At 42.1% G+C, this 17,087-nt stretch overlaps 1 protein-coding gene across 11 annotated transcripts in view; it reads right to left on the reverse strand.

The window, feature by feature from the left end:
• The window catches only part of PARD3 (par-3 family cell polarity regulator), a 705,736-nt gene that overhangs the window by 586,975 nt on the left and 101,674 nt on the right, over positions 1 to 17,087 (reverse strand). The window lies entirely within an intron of this gene.

Here is a 17,087-nt window from a genome sequence, read left to right on the forward strand (position 1 = left end):
ATACTGCAACTGATTAAAAATTCAGACAGCACCCTAAGTTTGGTATTGAGTCACTGCTCCTTTTATGATGGAGTGACTCATACACACTCTTCCCTTTGGCTCTGATGCTGATACTCTATTATGATAGGAACTGCACAAACCTGCAATATGTACTGCATAAGTAATACTGATTTCTCTAAAGCATACTAGATTTCCTATTGCCCAATATATGAAATACTTATTATACTTATTAACCCCCAATGCAATCTACAGAAATATTCTAATAAGCAAACAGCATATATTATGTGTCTGAAGAATTTGTATTTTTGCTTATCTGCAAAAAGTAGTTTGCACACCCTGGTGGCTCCAAGTGTTTCTTACAAATAGGTCTAAAGATAGGGACACAGAAGGATGCTGACAAGACCGTAGTGAACAAAGCACATCCTGTGTGGCTTGAGCCTCTTTTTACAGAGACAAAATGACACACACACACACACACACACACATATTAAAATGCGTAAACACACACACACACACACACCCCCCTCAAAATTTGCAGTGGTTATCCTGCAGTGGGATTGAGGAGAAGGAAAAAAAAGGACATCATTTTAAATTTTATACACTTCTATATGGTGTACGTATATTTTAAAATCCTTAAAACTCTGCTTTCAAATGATCTGAAGAAGAAACATAGTTGTGTGTTTCTGAACTTCTACATCACTCTTACGTACATATTCAGATGAAAATATACTAAATTGCATGTTTCACCATTCCCTACTGCTTTCATTCTGCAACACAATTGCTATCCAGAAGTTCAATCCTCCATTCTTCATACCTAAAGATGATGTTTGATACAGTTCTTTCCTGAAGCAAAGATTGGAAGAAGGAGGCTAATGATTAATGAAGAGTTAAAATACAGATTCCTGGACCCTGTTCCAGATCTACTGACTAAGACCCTGGAGCAGGGGTGCGGGGAGAATCCATATTATTAAGAAGCTCTCCAAGTCCATCTCTAACAAAGCATGCCTAAGTATCACTGAAACGGAACACTTATTTTAAAAATGCAGAATGACCAATCCTTGTCACTTTTTAACCAGCACAGCAAGTAACTCAGACCTTAATCCTCAAAGTTATTAAACATTACCGTTAAAACCATTTTGCAAGTAACAGAGTTCCTCTGCACCCTCATCTATCTGGACCTCTATGAAAGGAATCATTTATCTAGAACACAGAGAGTAAGTTTGTAAAACAAACACTCACACACACACACACACACACACGTTGGCATCCTCTTCATTTGTGGGGCCTATTCTGACTGCACATGAATCCCAATTACAACATCATCCAGGAGTCCCTGGGACACCTGCCACTGAGACAGCTCCAGAATTTGGCATCTCCAGATGTGTTGAGTCCCCAAAGAATGAAGTCCCAAAACCATTTACTGATGGTAAATGGTATTTCCTCTTCAAGGAAAATTGGAAATAATGTCCTGGGGGTGAATAAGAAAGAGGTGTCCCCTGGCCACTTAGAATAGCCACATCCTGCCCACCTCTTCCCACCAAGCAAGCTCAAGGGTGACCCAATCAACTTAAATATCAACTTTCGTTTCTAAAATACTTCCACACACACAAGCACACCAACCTCCAAAATGTGGCTTATGAAACCATTCTTTAAGCCTCCTAATCCTGTTCACTCCCTCCAGATGAGATCATTATCTGCAGCCTTTATATAATATTTGTAGCCACCCCTTGGAAATAAATCCGCACCTATGGACTTTCTCAACCTCATAACTTCATCCTTCAGAACTTGCTACATTTCCACCTTTTCCCCAGCACTTTCCCTTTCACAGCCTGTTAGGCCCTGCACCATTTTCCCCCCACTCTGTGCCCAAGGCCTCCAATGCCTGGACCACACCTTACCCTCCAGGCCAGCCCTGTCTGTCCATCAAGACTTCTCAGGCATCCTCTTCTCCAAGAGCTTTTCCTGACCATCACACCCCCAAAGCAGATCAGCAGTCTAACTCCAGCCCACTGTTTTCTTTTGTTTAGAGACAGTCTCGCTCTGTCATCCAAGCTGAAGTACAATGGTGCAATCATAGCTCAATGCAGCCTCCAACTCCTGGGCTCAAGCAATCCTCCCACCTCAGCCTCCCAAAGTGCTGGGATGATAGGCATGAGCCACTGAGCCCAGCCTGTCCCACTGTTAATGTTCCTAAAAACCACAATCGTATGGAAGATAGAGTCAGGTGTCAAGCGTGAGCCTTTAAAGGCTGTGAATTATTTTTACATATGCAGCACAAAACCTTTTGTTGACACTACTTTACCTTCCGGTTATTATACCAATTCTTTGATGATCTTCACAGCAAATTTTTTTTAAAAATTGTCTATACTTGCTTCAAGTGTGTCTTCCTCCCATAACCCCATTCCAATCAGGCTTCCTCTTCCATCATATCCACAGCAGCCTCCACGATGCTTAACACAAAAGTCTGTTGTCTGTCCTCATCTTATTTGGTCTATCAGCAGAATATGTTACCCTCTCTTTGAAATACTCTATAAACTTGGCTTGTAATCCTCCAACTAACTGATCAAGGCTTTTCTAATTTTGAGAGTCAATGGTTGACTCCTGCCTCCGGAGGGGTCCTGACTCAACAGTCAGCTATGCCAAGCAATCATGATAACATCATGCCAAGGCAAATATCAGGCTGCCACTTATTAAATGCCACTCCACAAAAATGTGCTGAATGGATATGACGTTTTGAAAAGAACTGAGCAGGAGATCAACAGTAACCCCAACAGAGCATGCTGCATTAAAAATAAAAAAATAATAAATAAAACATAAAAAATAAACATATAAAAATGACCTCCTCCCACAAGAGTTTAAAAACCAGGAAGGATATTTTTGCCACTGAAAAATACAACTCCGTAGAACAGTGGTCTCTTGGGAAATTTTAACTGGCAGCTTTCATACCATAATTCTCTTTCAATGAACAGAGGACTTGCTTTATTTTCAAGGGAAGAGTCCAGTATCCAGTGAGAAAAAGTTAGCGCATACTTATTGATTCCACTTTGTAGTAGTTTGCATTAAAAAGTTTAAAATAATAACAGTAGGAATCTCTACTGTCCAGTCCATAGACACTCAGAAATGTAGCTGAGCAAAAAATTGTGATAAGGTCCGGCATGATGGCTCATCCCTGTAATCCCAGAACTTTAGAAGGCCAAGGCATAGTGACCCACACCTGCAGTCCCAGCTAATTGGGAGACTAAGGCAGGGGGATCCCTTGAGCACAAAAATTCAAGGCTGCAGTGAGCTGTGATTGTATCACTGCACTCCAGCCTGGGCAACAGAGTGAGGCCCCGTCTCTTAGGGGGAAGATAAAAGTTATGATAAGCCACTTTTTATACTACCAATAAATTCTAATTCTACAATAATTGTATCAGTCATTGGGTGAATAAACAAACATGACAGAACATTCAACTAAAAAAGAAGAAGAATGTTTCTCATTCAGGATATGTCCATTTAAAATAACAAAAGAGTTAAACACTAACAATAATTGTGTATTATGACAACCAAAAGTCCATCACACACAGCAATAAACGAGGGGCAGAGTTCATCCATCAAATAGATGATCAAGCAGTGAATGTCCTCATGGGGCAAGGCTCCCAAGGATAGGTCCAAACCCACCGAAGAAACCTGGAGACAAAACCACATGAAGAATCACTGCTCTTATTCAGATAAAGAACATCAACTTCACCTTGCCTAGTGCTAGACAAAACATTTCCTAAGACTAAGAATGGAAGCAGAGGTAACTCTACAAGATGCAAGTTGCAAGGAATGCTGAGGCCCACTCTACTCCAGGATGTGGTAAGAGAAAACAGTGCAAAGTCCTAAGGCGAGCTTTTGTGAGTTATGACATGTATAATGCATAGGCTCCGCATATTACCCACATGTGCAAATTTCAAGAAAAGTATCTGCAACTAGAAATAGCACCCTACTTTTTCATTAACCATGGCATACAGCAATGGTCAATATCCTGTCTAACTTAAGACCAGAAAAAGATCACTGAAAAAAATCTATGTTGATAAAAAAAAAATTTGAGTATTTACTACATGCAAAGCATTGCATGAAGGCAAAGAAACAATCATCACCCAACATCAGAAATTAAAATTTATCTGACAGGCCAGGCGCAGTGGCTCACACCTATAATCCCAGTACTTTGGGAGGCTGAGGCAGGTGGGTCACCTGAGGTCAGGAGTTAGAGACCAGCCTGGCCGACATGATGAAACCCTGTCTCTACAAAAAGCATAAAAATTAGCCAGGCATGGTGGCGTGCGCCTGTAGTCCCAGCTCCTCTTTCTCCTGTAGTCCCAGGAGAATCACTTGAACCTGGGAGGCGGAGGTTGCAGTGAGCTGAGATCACACCACTGCACTCCAGCCTGAGCAACAGAGTGAGACTCCATCTCAAAAATAAAATAAAATTTATCTGACAAAATATAAGTCATAAAAAAGAGGTAGACCACGTGTTCAAAGAAAACTACACCAAAAAAAAAATGTTTTGTGAATTCAGGAAGGAAAGATCACTCTCACTTGGAAAGGTCTTCATGGGGAGGTTTTAGCAGAATGAGCAGACCAGAGGGACAGGGCACAAGAGGAGGACCCTGAGCAGGGGGAAGGGTGTGAGCAGCAGGGAAGAATGGCAGAGGTGATTCAGAACGCTGTGAACACAAAGATAAAAATGAAAGGGTAAAAACATCATATCAAAAAGACACACTTATTTTTATTTCCTACTGAAAGCCCACTGAAACCACAATACACGCGGGGATGTTGTTGTTGTTGTTGTTGTTGTTGTTGTTGTTGTTGTTGTTTCCAAGCATAATCGCACAAAGACAAAGAGAACAGAGGGAAATGAGGGAAACACAGTTTTTGGAAGCTGAGAAGCAGATGGCCCAGAGGCGACACATTTTGCAGAACCAAGAAAGGGAACCCCAAGGTAACTGTGGGGAAAGCCAAGAAGCAGCAAGACTTCCCCAACAGAGCCGGTAAGAGGCTCTGGAATGGGGAGAACCAAGAATGTCAGAACACCGGAACAAGGATGGGAAGGGGCCAGGCACGGTAGTTTATGCCTATACTCCCAGTGCTTTGGGAGGCAGGGACAGGAGGATCACTCAAGCCCAGGAGCTCCAGACTAGTCTGGGGAACGTAGTGAGGCCCCATCTCTACAAAAAAACTGGAAAAATCACCAACGTGTGGTGGTGTGCACCTGTGCCCATAGTCCAGCTACTTGGGAGGCTAAGGTGGAGGATCTCTTGAGCCCAGGGGTTCGAGGCTACAGTGAGCTTGTCTCTAAAATATAATAATAAAACAATTTTGGCTGGGTGTGGTGGCTTACGCCTGTAATCCTAGCACTTTGGGAGGCCAAGGTGGGTGGATCACTTGAGGTCAAGAGTTTGAAACCAGCCTGGCCAACATGGTGAAAGCAAGTCTCTACTAAAAATACAAAACAATTAGCCGGGCATAGTGGCGGGCACCTGTAATCCCACCTACTCAGGAGGCTGAGGCAGGAGAATCGCTTGAACCCGGGAGGCAGAGGTTGCAGTGAGCTGAGATTGCGCCACTGCACTCCAGCCTGGGCAACAGCAACACTCCGTCTCAAAATAATAATGATAATAAAACAATTTTAATATTAAAAAAAAAAAAGCCAGGCATGATAGTGCATACCTGTAGTCCCAGCCACCTAGGAGGCTGAGGTGGGAGGATCACCTGACCCTGGGGAATTTCAGGCTGCAGTGAGCCATGACTGCGTCACTGCATTCCAGCCTGGGCACAGTAAGACCGTGTCTCAGAAAAAATAATAATAATAAAATTAAAATAATAATAAATGTAAAAGATGGGAGGAAAAATAACAATACTGTCTGAAAGTCTGTAGTAATTAAAGCCCCAGCTTCCCAATGCTTCCAGAGAGCACAGTGACTGCCCCTCCCAGCCCCTGGCGGCTCACTGCAGGCTCAGACAGCAGGTCTGGACTGAGAAACTAGAGGAGGAACAATTGTAGAGGTGCCTTGTTGAAAATGAGAGGAGCCAAGTGAATATTTACGTACTGATTACAGAAAAATCCAGCCCTCTGCTTCCACTTGCTCTCAGAATGCCAGCCAGGGCTTATCCCCCCAAGGCTAGAGGTGGGAAGATCTTTCCCTGGGCCTCTATCCATCTAAAGAGAAAAGGCAGGGGGGAATCTGGCCCAGTCCAGGGACCACCCAGTGAAGCTCACAGTGTACGCCCGTGCCTGAACTCAGTGCTCTCAAGTTACCATTAGTGCCTTAGGTCAGAGCCAACCATGGAGAGACAGACTTTTAAGAACACCCCAAGGATGGAAGAGAGAACAAAACAAATAGTAAACACAACTTGAAAGAACCAGAGACTGTATAAAAAGATGCTACTAAAAATCCATCACTGGTATCCTGAGAGAGGTCAGATGGTGGTACATTCAGGTTGCAGAGGAATATGAGAAGGGAGGAAAGCAAGAAAGAAAGAAACGTGGTGAGAGAGAATTTTTTTAAAAAAAGTATTTTGGAATTAAAATATGAAAAACAGGCCAGGCACAGTGGTTCATTCCTGTAATCCCAGCACTTTGGAGGCCAAGGCAGGTGAACTGCTTGAGGCCAGGAGTTTAAGGCCAGCCTGGGCAACACAGCAAGATCCCATCTGTACAAAAAAAAAAACCATAAAAATAAGTCAGGTGTGGTGGCATGCACCCACAGTCCCAGCTACTCAGGAGGCTGAGGCAGAAAGACTGCTTGAGCCCAGGAGTTCAAGGCTATGGTGAGTTACGACTGGGCCACTGCACTCTAGCCTGTGTGACAGACACTCTGTCCAAAAAAAACTAAACAAAATACTAAGAGCTCAATAGGAAAATTAAGAGAAGTTGAAAATATCTCCCCTAGGAAGTTGGAAAAAAAAAAAAGACAAAGAAGATAAAAAAGGCTAATAATAAAATTAGACCAGTCAAGTAAGTCAAGCAACTTGAATAACAGGAGTTCTAGAAAAAGAGAATTGGGAAAACAGAGAAATAACCAAAAACAATTTCAACTTAATTCCCCAAAATGACATATGTTTCCACATTAAAAAGTTCCATAGAGACCCCAACACAATGTATAAAAGCAGACATACACCAAGGCACATCAGAACACAGAAGAAAAACAGAAGATTGGTGGGGGGAAGGGAAGGAGAACATCCAGAAAATAAAGCACAGGCCACAGTGAGGGAAAAGGAGTCACAGCAATACTGGAATCTAGACAATCATCTACCAGTGACTTCAAAACTCCTACAAGAAATAGTCCCCCATCCTAGAATTCCATTTCTTGCCCAAATACCGGTAAAGTATGAAGGTAGAAAAAAGACCTTTTTTAGAAATGCAACGTTTCCAAAAACATTACCCCTTTGTAAGTGGAAGATGTGTTCCAACAAAATAAGGCAATAAACCATGAATGAGAATGACACAGCATATGAAAACAGGAGACATAACACAGAAGACAGCTCCCGGGACGATGGTGAAGGTGGATCCCATATTCCAGGACGTCAGCTGCAAACCTGGAGCAGAGTGACCAGTCCAGACACCCCAAATGTGACCTCTTCAAAATGGCACTGAAAGAGTACCCAATGCAACTAAACACAGCAAGACACAATTTTAACAACTGACTAAGGCTAAGGCTAATTAGTTATAAATGTACAGAAGATCAACCAAAGGAAAAAACATTCCTCATTTCAGGAAAAACACAAAAGTTGTGAAGGAAAGAAAAGGTGATCAAGGTATCATACATGGTTCAGCTGTAAGTAGCTTTAATAATAAAAATAATGTGAACCTAGAATATTTAATCAAATTTGTAACCATATTTTGTAACAAAGTGGTCTAAAAAGTAAGTGTGACAGAGGGAGGAGAAAGGCAGACACAAACACACACAAAGAGACAGAGATCCTAGAAATGGCTACCTGTGAGTGGGGGCATAGCACACATACGGTAGTGAAATAGGGTTAAACCTTCCATGTTAACTCAATAGATGACAAACAACAAGAAAAAACAAACGAGATAAGCAATTTACATAAAAATATTAAAGTAAATATCAAAAGAACCAGGAGCAAGAGTTGGAAAAGGCAACCTCTCCCAAAGAAGGCTCTGCTCTTTTTCATAACAATCCTAGTAGTGCTATCTGATCATGTGCACATGTCACATTGAGAAACACAAAGACTAAAGAGAAACAAGTTTGAAAAGTCCTTTAAATAATAACCATGGCACACAGTTTACAGTTTAGCATCCACCAACCAGATTAGCCACATGATAGTTAAGTTAACAAGACAAATAAAGTCCTAGTTAGTGATATAACAAATAGAAAACATTTCATTTTTTTGTTTTGTTTTTAAAAATGCCCCTCAGACTTCTAAAACACTTCATTTTAAAAAGTCAACAAAAGAGCACGATCAGCAGGAACTATGCTTCTCTCTAGATTCTCTGGGTAACTCTCCAATTTATTTAAGCCAAAAACAAACATTTTTAGAATATATTCTGAAGTTCTGTTCTTAAAAAAAAAATGAATCATTAGCACTTCAAGATAGATATCACACATGCAATTCTGACTTTTCCTGATTTAATCAGCTTCATTTTTAAAAATGCTGATTGGCCAGGTGCAGTAGCTCACGCCTGTAATCCCAGCACTTTTGAGAGGTGGAGGCAGGAGGATTGCTTGAGCCCAGGAGTTCAAGACCAGCCTGGCCAATGTAGGGGGACCCCATCTCACAAATAAGTTTTTTCTTGTTGTTATTTTTGGTTTTTTAATTAGCTGGGCATGGTGGTGTGTGCCTATAGTCCCAGCTACTGGGGAGGCTAAAGCAGGAGGATCACTTGAGCCCGGGAGGTGGACAATACAGTAAGCTGTGATCATACCACTGCACTCCAGCCTGGGCAACAAGTTCAGACCCTGTCTCAGGAAAAAAAAAAAAAGCCAATCTTTTCCAATAAACTGAAACATAGGACCCATCTTCAATCTTGTTACAGGAACACTGCTAAACATTATACAAATGTTTGTGTTGCCTTCTCAATACAGGGAGAAGACAGACAGTCAGATGTCATAGCTGATGTTCAACAACAAAATAATGACCTGTATCACCACAAGGGAGGGACTAATATCTCATGCTAAGTACACTGCTCGGCCCCCATTCTCCACTCCAAACCACACCCAATACCAATGCCAAAACCTCAGCACCACAACACAAGACAGAGCAAACCACAAACCTGCTGCCTCCCTTGACAGGTGGATAGCTTCATTTATCTCATCAATCAAAAGTGAAAATGGAGGCATGAAACCAGGTGAAGTCCAACCTCAAGGAAATAAGTTTCTGGCATTTAGTCTTATTAGAACTAGCACATAATCTCTCACAGGGTCACACATTATTCAATAATATGAGAAATCAGCCCATCGATGACCTCCAAGATCTGACATGACTTTCATGCCAACACAAAGTCATGGAAGTCCTTCAACTCCTCCACCATTCTACAGAAATGAAGGGAATGGCCTCAGACTACAGCGCTGGCACAGGACACAGCCAAGGCAAGAATGAGACAGCAGTAACCACCAGTTAGATCTGCACTGCATTTTACAATTTTAAAAAATGCATTCATGTGCATTATCTCATGTGGAAAGAGGGCTTATAATTCCTATTTTCAGAGGAGAGAACTGAGACTCAGAGAGCATAAATAGCCGGCAAGAGGTCACAATTCATAAATGCTGGCAGCCAGGACTCCAGCCCAGGTCTGCTGATTTATTCCCAAGTCCTTTCTCAGACTAACACTGGCAGTTTCCAATCTGAAGCGTCAGGGTTGCTTGTCTTCTTTCCACAGCCCCTCCTCCCAGCCTCTTCTCAACAGCTTCATTTGTTAATACAGTACATAAAGAGAAGATCCAGGCCAGGCGTGGTGGCCCACACCTGTAATCCCAGCACTCTGGGAGGCCATGGCAGATTGCTTGAGTTCAGAGGGCCTAGACCAGCCTGGGCAATATGGCAAGACCCTGTCTCTATAAAATACAGAAAACAAAACAAAACAAAAAAACTTAGCTGGACGTGGTGGCAGGTACCAGTAGTCCCAGCTACTCAGGAGGCTGAGGCATGAGGATCACTTGAGCCTGGAAGGTTGAGGCTGCTGTGAGCCACGATTGTACCACTGCACTCCAGCTGGGGTAACAAAGTGAAACCTTGTCCCAAAAATCAATTAAATTAATTAATTAAAATAAAAAGACGAGATCCATAAAGTATTTTAATAAAAAGGGCCAGGTGTTGTGGCTCACGCCTCTAATCCCAGCACTTTGGGAGGGTGGGGCAGGAGGATCATTTGAGCCCAGGAGTTAGAGACCAGCCTGGACAACACAGTGAGATCCTGTCTCCACAAAAAATTTTAAAAATTAGGGCTGGGTTCGGTAGCTCACACCTGTAATCCTAGCACTTTGGGAGGCTGAGGTGGTCAGATCACTTGAGGTCAGGAGTTTGAGACCAGCCTGGCCAACATGGTGAAACCCCATCTATACTAAAAATACAAAAATTAGCCAGGTGTGGTAGTGCGCACCTGTGGTCCGAGCCACTTGGGAAGCTGAGGTGGGATGATCGCTTCAGCCCAGGAGGTCAAGGCTGCAGTAAGCAGTGGCGTGCCACTGCACTCCAGTCTGGGTGACAGAGTGAGACCCTGTCTCAAAAAAAAAAAAAGAAAAGAAGAAAAAAAGTGTTGGCTGTTAAAACCAAGTCTGAAAAGCCACACCATGAAAAATTCTATTACATGTTCTAATCACATCATGATTTAAAGTGGTGGTTCTCCAAGTGGGAGTCCAGGCCAGCATCACCTGATAATACACTGGAAATTCCAATCCCAAGCGGGATACACCACCAAAAAAAAAGTCTCTGGAGGAAGGACCAACCACCTATTTATACATTTAAACTAGCCCTCCAGGTGTTTCTGATGCACACTGAGGTTTGAGAACCAGTGATTCAGAATGAGGGGCGAGAAGAGATCAGAGAGGAAGCTGAAACACCTTGTGCCTCTTCTATACACTACGTTTTAGCCCAACAACTCGTGGGTTTAGTGCTTCTATCCAAACTTCGGAAATCAAACAGATGTTAGCTATTACATCTTTAAAATGGTTACCATGAACACACACACACATATTTGTCTCCTATAAGCATACAGATAATCTCAGTGTTCACTGTCAGAGTCCTTTCTCAGTGTTATTTCAACTCCAGGCTCTGTGCAGGGGATTGCTAACGCCACATCTTTAGACCAGAACCCTCCCAGCACTCCCACTTCAAACATCCACCTCTCACTGCACCTCACCCTGGGAGCAGTCTGAATCCTCCAAGGAGCTTGTTTTAAAAGCCTGCCAGGAAATTTTTATGCAACAAACAAAAGAATACCCATTTGGGAATTACTTATGACTGGACAATGTTTTTATGGAGTCCTATTTTACTTCAAATAGATAAAGCTTATATTCCTTATCTTCCCTCTAACACCAACTTCCTGCCTTCTTCATTCCTACTGATAGCAGCATCCTCCTGATTGAACCTAATCAAAACATAGCCTCACTTCTTCTTTACAGGAAATACAGGGGATAGAGAACCAAGGTAAACAATACCATAAGGAAACAATCAGACAAATCCAGAATATGAGTTTTTCTTTGTTTTTTGTCTTGTCTTTACAACGCAATTGCACTGATCTTTAAAGGAAAAAAAAAAAAAAGTCCACTTCGTCTGATATCTAAGTGCAATGTATGATCCTGGAGTGGATACTGCATCTGGAAAGAAAAAGTACTATGAAAAAGGAAAGGACAACTGAAGAAATTTGTCAAATTAAGTTAGGTAATGGAATGATACATTGGTAAGTTTTCTGAATGTGATCATTGTACTAGTTATACAACGAACAGTCATTTTTTGAGGAAATGTATGCTTAAGTAATAAGGGTGAGAAGTGTTATAATATCTGTACTTTAGTCTCAAATGGTTCAGGACAAAAAAATGCATACTATTACTAATGTGTATCTTTATGTTTATAGAGATAGAAAAACAACGTAGCAAATGTAAACAACTGGTGAATCTAAAGTATCAGTGGTGCATTTCACTAAAGTGTACATTAGAAATTTTTCAAGAGAAAACGTTAAAAATATGTCATTAAAAAAATAACCTGGGGACTTTTCTAGATCAAAAAGATTAAGGAGGAATATCCAAATTCAAGGTGTGAGTGGTGTTTGGGTCCTTGCTGGGTTTAAAAAAGAAGTCACTGTAGAAGACATCTTGGGAACAATGAGGGAAATTTTAATATGAGCTCAATATGAGATAATATTAGGAAATGATTCTTAATTGTCCATGTGATAATAGCTTTGTGGATATTTAAGGAAACACCCTTATTCTAAGGAGTTGTGTTCTGAAGTATTTAAAGTGCCATGTCTGCAAATAGTGCAAAAAAATACACACGTACACATATATGTACATGTGCACATGTACATATACATATAAACATACAGGTGAGAACCCCTAACCCAAAATGCTTGGGACCAAAAGTGTTTCAGATTTCCATTTTTTTCAGATTTTGGAATATTTACATGCACATGAGATTTCTCGAAGATGGGACCCAAATTTAAACAAAAAAAGTCATTTATGTTTCAAATATGCCTTATACACATAACCAGAAGGTAATTTTATACAATATTTTAAATAATTTTTTACACGAAACCAAGTTTGTATTAAGTCCAAGTTTGTGTTAAGTACTTATGTGTGGAATTTTCCACTTGTGGTATCATGTCAGGGCTCAAAAAGTTCCAATTTGGGAGCATTTCATATTTTCAGATAACAGATGCTCCACCTGTATACACACACGCAGGAATAAATATGTATTATTAGGAGTGCGAACAGGAAAATGCAAATCATCTCAAGTATTTTAAAGAGAGGGAAGTTAATACAAGGAACTGGTACAAAGATTTGTAAGAAGAGTCGTGACTCTAAACCAGGATGGTGGTGGAGGCGGGGGCCACACACAGGTTAGCAGTAGCAGGAAGCTATGACTACCCCTGGGCTGAGGGGATAAGGGGAGGTAGCACCAGAGCCCAGGGTGGCGGAAGTGGGAGCCATGGAGGACTCAGGGGCAGGAGCTGGAATTTGGGGAGAGACTTGTTTGCTGCAGAGACACAGCCCAAAACAGAGAGGGAGAAGGGAACTACTTTGGGGCTATGTCATCCCGGGGCCTCCTATCTCCCACCAAACCTCCCACTGGCCAAACCCAACCAGAGGTCAACTGACACAGCTGTGCTTTGTATGATTCTCTCAGCTACTATTTGAGTTTTTCATAACAAATTGGGAAACCAAATTAATTTTAAACAAATTTAATGACCCAGGGTTCATGAGAATACAGGAAGCCAGCATTCTCACACACTGCGCCTGAGTATTTTGCACACATTTTTGGAGAGGCGGGGGGACAGGGAGCTAGAATTTGGTACCACGCATCAAAATGCTTAAAATGAAATATACCCATTGATCCAGAAATTTAAAATGTGGAGGAAGATACATAGCCAAGATGCATATATTAAATGGGATATTTTAATATATAACAATAGAGAATGGGAACTAGCTATACACGTAAAAACAGGAAACAGGTTGAACACATTCAATCAATTAAACACAACAGAGCAATTCACAATGTTGTTCACCGACTGTTACATAAGACTTTGTTTCATCCCTAGTTTGAAGAATGTATTATCTACAGCCATAGACAAAAGAACTGCTATGCACAACTGGCAGTGCTTGTCTATATTTCCTGGCATTCCATAATAAATATATACGTGCAGTTTTAAATATTTATCCTCTTAAATAACTAGTGAATACATTTCTTTCTTTCCCATCTCTTCCTCTCCTGTTCCCAATAAAATGACTGTCCAATTCACTTCTAGACCCCATCTCTTCAATCCTGTGCCACATCTTGCTACATTTATCTTCACAAAATATTCCCTTTATCATGTGACTGTCCTGTAATATGAGTCATTTCCAATGACTCACTACTTTCTAAAAGTCAAAATCCAGTGTTCTTGGCCAAGCACTCAAAGCTCATCCCAAGCCGGTTTGTGACCAGCCTCAGCGTTGCCTCACCGTATTTCGATGTTCAATTGTTCTGTTCACTGATAAACCCCAAGCACCCAAAACAGTGTCTGAGACAGAGAAGATGCTCAATAAATACTGGTCAAGTGAAGAGACCCTTATGTTTTTGTTTATTCTCTTCCACATATCTGCAAAGCTTTCACCCCCAGAGTTCCAACTACCCAAATTGTATGTATCTTCCCAAATCCAGTTTATAAACCATCCCCTTGGCCGGACACAGTAACTGGCACGCATAACCTCAGCACTCCAGGAAGCCAGGGCAGGAGCATCACTCGATGCCAGGAATTCAAGACCAGCCTGGTCAACATAGCAAGACTCCATCTCTATAAAGCAATTAAAAATTAGCCAGGTGTCACGGTGCACACCTGTAGTCCCAGGTATTCCGGAGACTGAGGCAGGAGGATCACTTGAGCCCAAAAATTCAAGGCAGCTGATGAACTAAGATTGCATTGCCACACTCCAGCCTGGGTAACACACCCAAACCCCTAAAAAAAAGTAAAAACAAAAACTCCCCCTCCATGAAATGTGCTCCAACTCTGAAGTATTTACCTAGGCCAGGTGCAGTGGCTCACACCTATAATCCCAGCACTTTGGGAGGCCAAGACGGGTGGATCACTTGAGGTCAGGAGTTTGATACCAGCCTGGCCAACATGGTGAAACCCCACCTCTACTAAAAATACAAAAAGCTAGCTGGGCGTGGTGATGGGCATCTGTAATCCCAGCTACTCGGGAGGCTGAGGCAGAAGAATCCCTTGAACCCAGGAGGTGAAGGCTGCAGTGAGCCAAGACGGTGCCACTGCACTCCAGCCTGGGCACAGGGCGAGACTCTGTCTCAAAATAAATAAATATTTACCTAGAACACATTTGTCACTTAATAGCCTATTTCCTGTATATGCATGGTAATTTTTTTACTCTAGATAAGGTCTCCAAAGGCAGGGGCCATCTTCAGCTTTTTTTAGCATAGAACAAACAAAGCACTGTGTTGCATAACTAGTGTGTCCCAGAAAAAAATAAAAATAATACCCCTATTGGGTATAGGAAAGAACTTACACAAGAGTTTCTAGGAGAATATAATCAACAAACACAGGCCTATGCTCTCCTAGCTGCCAAAAGAAATGCGTGGACATGCCAGGCCATGTCAGGATCAACGCCCCCATTCACCCTTTATCCTGTCCCTCAGAGCTGGCTCAAGAAATGCTGTGTGATTATTCTAGTTTACATTCCAGGAAACATTTCAGATGTGGGGAAAGAAGACATCCAGACACTCTTCCCTTGCAATGAAAACGAACCCAACTTGCAATATGAATACCTTCGTCCTCACCTGCAGAGGTGGGTCCCCAGTGTGACTGGCCAGGAATCTTAGGCAGAAGAAGTGAGCTTAAGCCCCGATAAATATCTTACTCATACCCCAGAAAAAAGAGGGCAAGCCAAAACTCACCTTGGCCAACCCAGTTCTCCTCACTCTAGTCCCGATGGATCTAAGAGTGTGGAAGGGTACGAACAGTGGGTAGTATTGTTACCTGATGAACTGGTAGACAGAAAACAGAAGGCTTTACTGAGGGAAGGTAGTGAATATGGAATAATCCAAGCCTAAGTCCCTAAACCACAGTGTGGACGTAGCTACAGGATATTCTGCTCCAGAACTCAAATCTGTATCTGCAAGCTTCACAACCATCAGCACCATGAAAGCAGGCACCTGGTGCTGCGCCCACCTCCTAATCCATTCCATTCCTTCACCCTCACTCTGATTACAGAGCACTTCTGACATGACACCTGCTTTTCCATGTGACAATCCTGCAAGATCAATGTTTTCAACTGTATTTTGTAGAAGAAGAGACTAAGGAATAGGACACTTGACTTGCCTGAGATCAACACCACATAATGTCACAGTCAAGCATAGCTTAGGCTCAGACGCTAACCTGGAAATCCACATTTTCCCTTTAGGACACACTGATTCTTCCAAGAAGTTTGCCAAGGTGACACATTAGGAAGGGAGACACTGTCGCAACACCCAAGATAAAAGGCCTTTTTTAAGGGGGTACACATGGACATAAAGATGGCAACAATAAACACTGGGGACTACTAGATGGAGAAGGGAGGGTGAGGAGATGGTTGAAAAGGTATTGGGTACTATGCTCACTACCTGGGTGATGGAATCAATCGTACCCCAAACCTCAGCATCATGCAATATACCCATTAACAAACCTGCACAAGTATCCCTGAATCTAAAATAAAAGCTGAGGCCGGGCGCAGTGGCTCATGCCTGTAATCACAGCACTTTGGGAGGCCAAGGCAGGCAGATCGCTTTAAGTCAGGAGCTCGAGACCAGCCTGGCCAACATGGTGAAACCCCGTCTCTACTAAAATACAAAAATAAATTAGCCGGGCATGGTGGCAGGCACCTGTAATCCCAACTACTTGGGAGGCTGAGGCAGGAGAATCACTTGAACCTAAGAGGTGGAGGTTGTGGTGAGCCGAGATTGCACCACTGCACTCCAGCCTAGGTGACAGAGTGAGACTCCATCTCAAAAATAAATTAATTAATTAATTAAAAGTGGAAATTATTTTTAAAAATAAAATAAATTTTAAAATAAAAACCTTTTCTTCTTAGAACAGAAAAAAAAATGGAATAGTGAAAGCTGTATCATCCACCAGGTAATATGCTAGACTAATTTCACTATGAAGAAGTCACACTTTGCACCACTTTGCCTATCACAGATAAACAATCTAAGACGCATTCCATTCCATACTCCAGGCAGTGCTAGATTCAAAGCTGTAGAAAGAACAACCAGGCCAGGTGCGGTGGCTCACACCTGTAATCCCAGAACACTTTGGGAGGCCAAGGCGGGAGGGTTGCTTGAGGCCAGGAGTTCAAAACCAGCCTGGGCAACACAGCAAAATCTCAATCCCACCAAAAAAATTAAAAATAAAATTAGTC

The sequence above is a fragment of the Homo sapiens genome, chromosome 10 (assembly GCF_000001405.40).
Source record: "Homo sapiens chromosome 10, GRCh38.p14 Primary Assembly".
NCBI classification, from domain to species: domain Eukaryota; kingdom Metazoa; phylum Chordata; class Mammalia; order Primates; family Hominidae; genus Homo; species Homo sapiens.